Here is an 11,901-nt window from a genome sequence, read left to right on the forward strand (position 1 = left end):
TGAGGAACGCGCCTGAGCAGCACGTGTGTACGCAGCCCCAGAGGCCCAGAACTTTCTCCCGCAACCGCGCCCCGGACCGCAGTAATCCCGGCGGGGCAGGGCCGGGGAGCTGGGGACGGGGTGGTCTTTAGGGTGGCGGCTTCCCCCGACCCCGGACCCGGGAACCGGCCGCCGGCGCGGGGCGCGATCTGCACTGCCGGTCCCACAGGAGTTAAACCCCGAGGCAGACAAAAGGGAGGCCGCCGCGGCTCCTTTGCTCGGCTGTCAGTTGAAAAGAGAACCGCCGCCCTCTGGACTTCAACTCCCGACGGAAAAGGCATTTTATTATGGGTTATGACAAGTTGCAGAGAGACGCGGACAACTCAGTAAGAAGGAGCGGCGAGCGGAATCAAAAATGCTCGAGATGTTTGCAAGACAGAGCGAACACGGCTTCAAATGACAGGTGTTAGCAGGACTCCAGACGGGATCTGCGGGATCGGCCGGGTGGGAGCCGCACCGCACGGCGCCGGGTCGGGGAGAGAACCCGGCCTGGGGAGGCCGCGGGGTGCCCCCGCCGCGCCGCCCACCAGCCCCGCGCGGCCCGGAGCCGACCCCGCCTCCTCTTCCGAAAGTCCTAAGTCAGGACAGCGGCAGATCGTCCCAGAAAATCAGCGCCAACTCCCTCTGCTCAAATTTGCTACTTTGTGTTTTAGTTCCAGGCGGGAAGTCTACACTGCGCTCCCTCCCAGCCTCCGGGTCTTTCCGGATCAATATGAGAATGGGATTGCATGTACTCTAGGTCTTGCCTCCTGCGCTCTTCCATTAGAGGATTTTTTTATTTTTAGTTTTTAAATTTTATTTTTTACTAGTTTTGGTTTTTCTCCGAATGTCCCTCCTCTCATCTAAAAAATGAAATCCCGCCAAAGACTTATATTTTCTGCCTTGTGGGAGAAGCTTCTCTTGGGATTTCTGCTAAGTCAGTGCAATAGTCTTAACCGTTTTCCGCCCAGGGTCCCTCTGACCCAGCTGATCTTGCAGGGTGGGGAACACATCCTCTTCCCCGGCACCTTTTCAAATGCTTTCATCACCCCATCCGCAGTGGAAAATAGTTCTGTCTGCGTGAGTGCCTAGACTTGCAGAGCCTTGCCCTGCCCTGAGCTCAAGAGAGGTGAAGAACCCCCAAAAGAACACAGAGCAGCATCCCAACTGGCAGCGGGGCTTGCAGGATCCAGGTCGGCCTGAGGATGGCAACTTAGTGAGGGGAGGGAGGGCAATTATCCGGAGAAATGCAGGAGGAAGGGGGTGTGGAAGCAATCTTGTATTCCCAAAGGGGTGATGCGTGTATCCCAATTCCCTTCCATCGCCCTAATCTAGAGAAGACATGGTTAGGAGTTTCACAAACAAACTTCCTTACAAAGTTCGTTTTCTTGAAAGATTTGAGCTCAATCAAAGCCAGAAACTTCTGCCAGTTACATAGCACATTATGGCAAAGTGCTTGAAAATAAACTGCATGTTCTCTTTCCTCCCCACCTTAAAAAATTTATGCAAATAAAGTGTGAACAACCTTGTCTAACTCTACCATTGAAGAGGGAGAAAGAGTGGATACATTGCAAATACCTAGCTAGTGTTCATCAGGAATTCGCTGAAGGAGGACTGGGTGTTGCCCGAGTTTGAAAAATTGCTCAAGCACTTGCCTGCTGGTTTAATCGGTTTAAAGGTAACAATCAGGAAAAGTTTTAAACAGCTGTTTCAAATAGGCTGTTTCTTGGAGTGGTGATCTTGGACGCACTTCAGCCCCTCCTCCAACTGTGCTACAGACCAGAATCACTACAAATTTGTTTTCCCAACCCTGACCCAATCTTTTACTATGAATTTCTTTCAGAACTATTTATTCTCTTCCTGTCAAAGTGTGCCTGATTTTTATAAACCTTAATTATTTGCTCTCCCTCTGGAACTCTCCGTGACACCTCCCCCCAGCAACTTATATCAGACATATAAACAGACCTCCAGCTCGAATTTGTGGCAGGAGCTGGAGAAGGTTGATATTAAAACAACTGAGCCCGAAAAGCAAGCCCTTATCATCCTGAGCAGAGCAACTGCTGCAAAAACTTAGCTTAAATTTAAAAGCCATGAAGCTGAGTGGAAAAGCCCCCCAGAAAAAAAAAAAAAACAGAAAAGATATTTTATAGCATTGTAGTCACAGAATGAATGGAATGAGAGATACTATTTATTTTTCTGTCATGTGCCACTAGTGATAATTATACTTGAAGATAAAACTATATTTCCCGAACGACTGATTTGTGTTATTTTGTTTTAACGTTCTTCAGAACTAAAGAAAAAGAGAGGAGAAAAGGAAAATAGTTGTTCTTCAAATGGCTATCCATGGGCCAGTAATCAGGAAGCAGGTTTGCAAAACTATAGGATTTTTTTTTCATTAAATAAGTAACACATGGAAAGGTTTTAATTCTCACGATAGAACACCTTCATCTAATATTTTGCTCTTGAAGAGATGGGGAGGGAGAAATTGTAAACGAAATCACCTCCCTGGGCTTGATCTGTGTAAATTGGGATCCTTAAAATTCTGGTGGGACAACCTGAGCAATAGTGAAATGCAAACTGGATGGAGCAAAATGCTCCTTTCTACATTTGGGCAAAATCTGAACAGGTAAGACTCAGTCTTTATTTCTCTTTGTCTTCTGTCTTCCTTTCTGGAATCTGATTATATATCAATTCATACTCCAAAATCAAGCTCAAATATGCTTAAAACTTCCTTGGTTTCACATGTTCTTGTCTTGTCTATGCATACCGTGTCTCTCCCCCTCCCTGGAAACAGCAAATTATTGAAAGTAAAAGAAAAAAAAAAACAAAACTCCAACAACCCAAAAAAAAAAAAAAAAAAAAACCACCCACACATCTCAAACTTGCCCCCACACCCTCGCAAAAAGAAAGAGAATAGAGAGATTTAAGTCAGAGGAATGTGAAACTGTCACCAGCAATGCTGCCAAAAAAAAAAAAAAAGCAGTTGTAAAAAGAAGAAAGGTCATCTATAAGAAAGTAAAAATAAGAGCCATTGTCTGTGGGTGAAGCTGCCCTAGCAACTTACATATTGTGGCAAAAAAATATGAACAGAATTGTCACTTGGTAATGTATAAGAATGAAGATACTGGTAAGGAGGAAAGAGGACAAATTTGTAAGGTGGGGAGCTTCAAAATAGGAAAAGTTCCCAGGAATATTTTTCGCACCCCCATCTTTGCAAATCTTCCTGGCATCTTGGAGGAGTGCTGGAACTGCAAAGTGAGGCAGAGAGGACCAGGCACTCTGAGGAAGGTTTGGGCTGCTTTCGCCCCTTTGTAAGAAGAGTGGGGGCATCTCTTTTTACAGTTTTCCTCCCTTCTGAGGCTTAGAATAATAAAGTCAAGTGGCCGCCCATCAGCCCCTGTCCATCTTCTTTACCAAACTTGACATAGTGGAAGAAATATGACACGTGAATTATTAAAGAGGAGCTAGTTGACTTTTAACCCTGGTTGCTTTTCTCAGACCCCATTACCTGCAAATTTATCTGGCAATACACTGCAAGAATTACAGGGCATGCAGGGTAGGAAGAAGAGAGTAGAAAGCAGAGTGAGGGCTTTGTGAAAATATCAGGGAAAGGCAGGATGCTTTACCTTACCATTTGCACTACTCAAGGGGATGAGTAATATGTTATAGAAAACAAACCACTCCTCTAAAGAAGGAGGTTGGTTTCTCTGTCCAGGAAGAAAGCAGAGACGGAATTCAAAGCACATTCAACACCACCCCTGCATCTCTCTGATTCTCACTTCCTTCAGGCAGAACTTCTCAGTGTCTTAATTTTTTAAAATCTTTAACTTGATTTAAATTAATTCTTAACTTTATGAACAAAGGTAATATAATAAGCTCTTCTCCTCTTCCTCCCCTTCCTTTTTAATACCATTCTTGTTTTCACTCAGTTGCAAACACTTCTCAAAAGGGAAAAAAAACCCCATAAAGACAGCACACAGACCCTTTGTAAGTTAGAGTCTTCCAAAACTTTAGAAAACATACACAGACTACTTAATTTGGGCCATTGGTAAGATTATAAAAATCAGCAATAATCATTCAGGCATTCAGACAAACATTTGTGCTAATTAAGCAGCCATTATCCTGTGGGGTTGAGTAACTGGGCAGATGTTTTCAGAATAAAATAGGAAAAAAGCTATTGAACCCTTAGGGATTTTTTCTTTAAAATGAACAAGAGGAGAAGTGCAGTAAAAAAAAAAATACTATTATTATTACTTAGTCATTTGGGCATAGATTTGTATATCCTGTTGCCAAGGTGAAGGTAATAATTGAATCTATCCAAAATCTGAGTGATAGCGTAGTAAGAAATGACTCCATCTGACAGAAGAGCCAGGAGGCAAGTGATGGATACTATTGTCCAAACGTGACCCTCCATTAACACCACCTATCAGCATCTGGATCCTGTCACTGTTTCCCATCCCAGAGCCAAGAGGGCTGCCTGGCATATTCCAAGCGTGCTTCCCTTCCAGGGGCTTCGATGCTGCGCTCAACCCCGCGTCAACTAAATGGGTGGGAAGCCTGACCTAAACCCTGCTCTCTCTATCTCCACTCTCCTTATTACCCCTCTCCAGGCCCATTGTTTGGTAGGTGCTGGCAATTTGCTCCTTATCGCGCCTGTGTTTATGATAGCTTTTTATTAATAACAAAGAGAGAAATGGTATTAATATTAATTAACACAATAAAATGAAACTGTTTTGGGAATCCACCAAATGAATAATCTCATCGTCTAATTGGAGCTGGAGAGAAAAGGGAGGAGGAGGGGAGGAAAGGGGAGGGGGAAGGGGGAGATACAGATGACCTACTGGGTGACAGGCACAGGTTGGAAGGGTGACATTTTATTGTAAGCCTCCCAATGAAAGGAAGAAAAGGAAGGGACCAGTCAATTTAATGCAGGGACCAAGAGTGCAAGAGTGTTGCTAAGAGACAGAGATGCTGGTAAAGTTCTATCAGAAGCACTACTCTGACCTTATGCAAATAGAGGCGGCCAACTCTTTGTGGAACGGCTGAAAATTCCACCCCCTGTGTCACCAATACCTGGCATCGAGCCTTTTATTCAAATGCTCTCTAAAAACACACACAGAGGATGTGACAAAGCATGACACATTTAGGGGCTTCAATGAAAAAAAAATGCAAAGAAAATGGGGGGGTGTGATAATAATAATAGTAATATTTTTTAAAACCCAGAAAAAAAATCTACACCAGATCTTCCTATGGAAATGTCACCCATCTTTACCTTCTGGCACTGTCATTTTCCTTTAGCAGGAAAGTAACCTAAAGATTCAGAAATTGCCCTCTCAATGCGGAAATAGAAGCTTATTAAGACACCACAGTGGTGCTCAAAGTACTGTCATTAATTTACACCCTGAGGAGTGTGAGGAGGGGATGGTGTGAGGGTGGGTGGACAGGCGATGTGAAAGCTTGGTGCAGACTAGAGAAATTACAGCATATCCTACCCCCAAACAAAATGCGTGCGCTTTCCCTCTATTTTATCTACCCACTCTAGGGCAAGGTTACCTGCAAAAAGCCAGAGGCATGGGAACTAGTTGGCTCTCCCAGGAAGATGAATGTCCTTACAGGTAAAGTGGGAAGGCCCAATGCATCTCAGAGAGCCAGTGGCAATCGGACATCTGCTGTGGAATGGCTCCAGGCTGGCTTCCAACTGGACTAGGAGGTGGGCATGCCCATGGACGCGCCTGCCAGCTCTAGCAGAGGATGATGCCCGGCTGCCCCTCTGTGCCACAAAGTGCGTTTGGAGCTGGAAGTTGCCAAGCGCCTGACCTTGTGGCTTCACTGTACAGTCCTTGAAAGGACGGAGAGAGAAATTTAACTCCACCTCGGTTTGCCAACCTCTGGGCCACTTTAGGCAGCAAGGCTTTGGGCTTGGGCTTTGTGGACAAACACTTCTAAGTGTCCAGGCCACATTCTCTCTCTGTCCTTCCTCCCCTTTTCAATCCAAGTGAGCGTTAGTCCCTCCGCAGGATTGCACATCACATGGAAAATCCTACCCCTGGAAACACCACCTGACCTTAGGGTGCCAGTCCTGAAAAGTTGAACACCAAAGAGGGAGAAATTGATGATTCACAGTTCTTGGCAGAATTTGTTCCCTGGGGTCACCTTCAGGACTGGAGCTTTGGGAACTTCTGGGGCCCAAGGCTGGAGGTGGGTGGAGGTCTGGAAGGAGAGGGATGCCGAGGGAAGAGGGCAGGGGCTTTACCACTGCCACGCATCTGCCTGTCCCGGCAGCCCTCCAGCCTCCACTGCAGCCACATCCCAACACAACCTGTATACTTCTGCTTGTTCACTAGTAAAGTGGAAAAACGGAAACATCTATACATGTGGGCAAAGCGTCTCACACACCCAGAACTTCGCAAACTCAATTTAGTCAGCCTGCTTTTTACACTCTTGATTTCCTCACTTGCTTTTGATTTCAATATTGATAAAATACCTACTGTCTCACATCTTTATGGTAATAGTTGCAGAATACATTCAGCTGCTTGCGGGGAGTTTTGAGTGTTCAGTCGTGGGTAACTTCCCAGGGCCACTTCTCCCTAGGACCCTCCCCCGCCCCTCTTAATGGTGGGACTTTTCATAATGTGCACAATACTATTAAAATTTCATATTAGCAGTGTGTATGGTGAACTTTGTAATGGGAAATTCAATAGCTGCTGTAAATATTAATGGAATATGAAATGAAGCCACAGCCTCGACCAGCCCTGACAGTAAAACGGAGTGAGCATGTGGCGGCCCCGGGGCAAGAGGGGCCTTTCCTCTTGTCGCTCTCGCTTTATTACATTAGCGCGGGCTTCCCCGCGCCGGCGTGGGCTCAGAAGCCGAGGCGCCGGGTCACCCATGACAAATGTCCCCGTGTCTCGCCAACAGGCCCCGCCTGGCCCTGCCACTCCATCTGCCCAACAGGACCCCGGAGAGTGCTTGCGGGTGTCAGTTTCAGGTAAAGAGCTCTCGAAAGCGCAAAGTCTCCAAAAAGGTTACAAGGGTTCCAGCGCCTCCCCAAGTCACGGAAGCCTGGGCCGCCGCTGCAGCAGGAAGGGTTCGTACCCGGGGGGAGGGGACCACCCCAAGCGCGTGTGTTAACGAACCCCAAGCGAATTTCGGGGCTTGAAAGCGCTACCGGGGCAGCCAGATTACTACCTCCCACTCTCACCTCCATCCCTCCCCGCCCCTTGCCCGTCCCACGGGCCTCAGATTTGGGCGTAGGGCTGGGTAGGGCGCCTGGGAGGAGCCAGAGGGGGCGGATCAGGCCGGGATTTGGCGCCAGGTACCCCCACCCGCCCGCGTCCCGGGGTCGCCAGCTGACTCCATGTGAGCCCACTTGGCACCGGCCCCCCGAGGGATCCTGCGACGCGAGGGGTGCCCATTTGCAGTGATCCGCGGACTCTCGAACCCTAAACCCCGGGGCCCAGCTCTGCCCCGGCGTGGATCTTCGGGAAACCGGAGCGGAGGCTCGTGGAGACCTGGGAGGAGCTGCGCTGACTGGGGCAGGGGACGCCCAGATTGGATCGGTTCCGAGCTCTCGTCGCCCCCGAGGAGGGCACGACGCGCTGACAAACGTGGCCGTCAACACCTCGAGCTGCCCCGGCGAGTTATTTCAACAGACTGGGAGAGAGCCGTACTATTTGAGTGGCAGGCGACGCCTTTCCCCACTCTCGGTATTTATGTTGCACCGACGGCACTTAGGAGAGCTTAGTTTTAGATGCGGCATTAATCTTCACTTGTTAAGAGATAGTCTGTCAGCCTTTACCAGGCTCTCCCACTCCCGACGTGCAAGGCCCTCCCCCAGCGCGCGGCCACCCCCAAGCTGGTCCTCGCAAAGGCGCGCGGAGCCGCACTGCCGAGGAGAGGAGCCCGGGGTTAAACTGGGGCAAGGCGAGCGAGCCGCGGACGCCAGGCGCGAGCGCAAGGTTAAAGTCAAAAGCTCTGCCTGGGCCAGCACTCAAGACGGTCCTGGCACCAACGCCTTTCATTTTTGCCTGTTTGCAAGCGGGGAAAGTGGAGTCCTCAATCATAGCGAGGAGCTTTTCTTAAGCCACAAAGCACACGGGCGCAAACATCCTCGCTGCTAACTCAGGGCAATTGTCTTCCTATTTTCTCGTTCCTGACCCCCAAGTTTCACCGGTGGGAAGTCATCGAAGATCTCCCTTTTACCACCAGCTCTACGGGGTCGCTTTTCTCTTAAGCGCCCTGTGAGGGTCCTCCCTTTTAAATTATTTCCTGCCCAGTTATTTTTCCCCCAATTAATCCAGAATAGTTTTCTCATCTGCTCCAGATGCACGCAAACTGCAGAGCTGAAATGAACTGAACTAAGAGCGGAATTGAAATACACCAGGGGTTTCCCTGCAGGAATTGTTCCAACGAGGTATCCACGGGTTTCAAGATCCGTTGAAATGCTTCAGGTGTGGTTTGCATTCTCACCGACCCTCGGGCCAGTTCCCTCGCCCCCAACCGCCGTTATTTGTTCCCCCCACCTACTTCAATAGTTGCGCCTCACCCTTCCTTGGCGCCATTAAATCAGCACCCCGCACCCCCGCCAGTTTTGCAACTTCTTTTCCTTGCCCTTTAAAAGAGTTACACTTTCTAAGAAGACTTAAAAAAAAAAAAAAAAGGACAAGAAATGGATATAGGTTTTGTAAGTGTTAAATAACTTTCTCAGCGTGTATTAAAGGAAGATTGTATTTTATCAACTGCTGATTGATGCAGCCGTGTGATCCTGTCGGTTTGTCTATGGTATCATATTTATTTAACCTGCTGGGGGACTGTGTTCAGGGGCAGCCTGTTCACGCTGACAAGAGCATGCACATTACACACTACCCCAGGTATTTTGATTGATTGTTCCCACCCCAAAGCCTTTGGTTCATAATTTAGCACAGCGGGTTCTGCATCACAGACTAGGTTAAAAAAAAAATCCTGTAAGAGATTTCAATGAACAACTACTGCCAAGAAACCTTTCTCCACCTGCAACCCCCAAATATTTTAAATGCCCCTGGAGATAGCTCAGTCTGTATAATTAATAATTACAGGGCACACAACCTTTATTTACCCTAGTTTCCAGAAGTGTGATCAGATGATTCATTCTAAATCTATGGCTGGAGCAACATTTCCTTAACTGGGAGAGGGGGGTGGTGGGGACAATATCAAATAGGGTGGGCTTCTCTTTTCTTCTCTTTCACTCTCTTTCAATAGCAGGCTTGGGGTGTGGAAGCAGTAGAAAGGCTGACAAAATGATTCTTTTTTACAGACTCTCTCCTGAGGTTGCCTTGGGATTTAGTTCATAAATTCCTTTGGCAGCAAACTGGGTTTATACTACCCCTACACACTCCCAACCCCATGGTGAGGAAAGTTTTTTTTTTTCCAGGTGACAAGCTGTTCAGTGTGTAAAATAAACTTTCATAATATTTGTGTCTTTTCAAATAAATAATCCCAATGGTCTGGGCATATCCTAGCAGTTCTGAAAGTTGTGACCTGAAATTAGCATGACTTAGTGCAGAAACAATGAATAATTACTTCCTGTGAGATTTCTAAAAGGTGGGAACCATCTCCTTGACAGTTTTCTTCCTTTCTTTTTTTTTTTTTTGTTAACACCAACAGAGCACATGTTTATGTACCAACTAATGTGTGTTTTAAACATTTATTTGCTATGATAAAATTGGGACACATTTTTCTTTGCATCATCTTGGATTGCTATTATTCTGGCTAGCAATATTTTTTTTCTATGAGTGCAAAAGTGAAGTTTCAAGCTTGTGCTGATTTCCAGTGACAGAGATGCTATTTATTGTGCTTGGTGTTTTTACATTTGTTTTTTAGAGACTCCTGAAGTCTAAAAAGGCAATCTTAGCACCAGTATGTATCTCTTTGCCCATTAGAGTCTTATTTTGTCATTCTAGGTCAGATGGGAAAGACATTACCAAGGTGGTTAATTGCATGTGTGTATAATGTTGCACTGGAGGGTGGAGATTCACAGCATTTAAAAAAAGATGTTAAGTACATAATTGCTCCCCAAATAAGCCAACACATCTAAAACAGCTCTTTTTTTTTTTTTTTTTTTTGTCTTCAGCTTTTAGGTTAACATTGGGAGACGATGGCAACATTGATCTCATTAAAACTTTCTTCTTCATTCTCGAACATTATCATTCACCAAAGCGTATCTTTTGGCTTGATTGTGTACCTGAAAATGATGATAAACACATCAACCAAATGTGATGCACACTTCTCATTCCAGTTAACATCTTCTTTTATCAAATGTCCCTTATTTGTGCTGGCACTGAAGCCTTTCTCTTACTGTCTCCTGTTTAGGGGAAGTTTGGGAGATTCTGATGGTATGCCTTCTTTGCTGATAATATCATGTACAGCAACTCTTTTTATCCCTAGATGTTGCTATTTATCCTCAGATGGTGTTCGGTGACAAAGCTCAAAATATTACAAAACTCTGAAAGATGTACTTTTCTGCTGAGAAACCAGCCATTAATCAAAAGCAAGTACAGATACAATATTCAGAGAGAAAGAGAAAGGGTAGGCTGGCAAGGATAATATTTACCCGTAACTCAATGGCAGCCAGGGATACTAAGGCAGACCAAGCAAGGTGAAAGGCCAATTTGTGATGTACAAAATCTACACATTTTAATCACAGAAGTTTTGAGGTACCACATGAATCTATTTGTGATCATTTTCCAAAAAAATTAGAAATCATTGGTTTGCATTGAAAATCAATCTTTTAAAGCCGTCAACTATAAGATTTATTTAATAGAATATTATGTACATTACCCATAATAAAGCAGAAAACAATTTCCTATGTTGTCTCCTGGAGAGTCAAATTGATTTAGTGGGGCTCTACTTATTTTCAAGGAAACACTTTGACCATATTTAATACATGCTCACACACAGAAACACATACAATGAACTTCTTTGAAGTTTAGTCACTTCCTGGCTGTGTGTCTCTGGGCAAGTTACTTAATTTCTCTGTTCTTCAGTTTTCTCAACTTGTAAAATAATAATATTACCTACAGCAGGGGTTGCTGTCAAGATTAAGTGAGTTAACTCACGTGAAGCTCTTAAAGTGTGCCTGGTGTGTGGCAATTTCTAGATATACATCAGCTGTTACTGATGGCCTACAGTAGGAATTAATGTCTTGCTAATGTTATTATCAACAACAGTGTTTTTGTTCTGATCATGTAGAATGTTGTGACCAGACTTCAAAATGTAAACTTGAAATTTGAAGTGTTTCTATTAAGACCTTGTTCAAATATCTGCAGATTTGCTCAAATCTGCACTAAGCTGAAGCATCAGAATTACAAAATTGCCCCAAAGGGGCAAAGTGATCACTCTCTTTCTTCCTGGCTCCCTGAGCCTCGGATAAACCACATAGCCTTCTACGCAAATGCCAAGCTAAAATGCGGCTCTGAGGAGTGGTGAGAATGCCGTGAAAATGTCTATACACCAAATCACAAGAAAAAGCTACCAAGAGACCCTAAAGAGAAACCACAGTGTGACTTGCCATCCAGTCACTTTATTTGGTAAGGATGTCAGCATGCTCTTTCTTCATTTTTGCTTTATGCTAAGTACCTAATTCCTTTGTAGCATATCTTTTAACATCCTCTGAGTTTTAGGATGTGTGTTTTATATGTGCCAGGCACTGTCTTTTATTAGGTTGTCCAAGTTTAAATTTATTTTGAATGGAAAGACATATGTCCTGATAATATGTTAGAATATTGATTTAAACTAGGATCTTGATGTAAAAATTAATGGAATGAAATAATAAAATCTTTCAGGGTTTGATCCCCACCCCTCACGTTGGCTTTTGTAATGAAGACAAAACCAGTTTCGACTGGGTAT

At 45.2% G+C, this 11,901-nt stretch overlaps 3 annotated features.

Moving 5' to 3' along the window:
- Positions 1,030-1,324: a silencer, noted in NCBI's record as "tiled region #9726; K562 Repressive non-DNase unmatched - State 20:ReprD". NCBI's record gives its function as "represses a minimal TATA promoter and a strong SV40 promoter by Sharpr-MPRA in K562 cells {active_cell/tissue: K562}" and the evidence as "EXISTENCE:reporter gene assay evidence [ECO:0000049][PMID:27701403]".
- Positions 6,708-7,571: an enhancer, noted in NCBI's record as "H3K27ac-H3K4me1 hESC enhancer chr15:96959267-96960130 (GRCh37/hg19 assembly coordinates)". NCBI's record gives its function as "activates a minimal SCP1, AML or CMV promoter by ChIP-STARR-seq in naive H9 embryonic stem cells {active_cell/tissue: H9 hESC(naive)}" and the evidence as "EXISTENCE:reporter gene assay evidence [ECO:0000049][PMID:30033119]".
- Positions 7,572-8,435: an enhancer, noted in NCBI's record as "H3K27ac-H3K4me1 hESC enhancer chr15:96960131-96960994 (GRCh37/hg19 assembly coordinates)". NCBI's record gives its function as "activates a minimal SCP1, AML or CMV promoter by ChIP-STARR-seq in naive H9 embryonic stem cells {active_cell/tissue: H9 hESC(naive)}" and the evidence as "EXISTENCE:reporter gene assay evidence [ECO:0000049][PMID:30033119]".

This window comes from Homo sapiens, chromosome 15, assembly GCF_000001405.40.
Source record: "Homo sapiens chromosome 15, GRCh38.p14 Primary Assembly".
Lineage (NCBI taxonomy): Eukaryota > Metazoa > Chordata > Mammalia > Primates > Hominidae > Homo > Homo sapiens.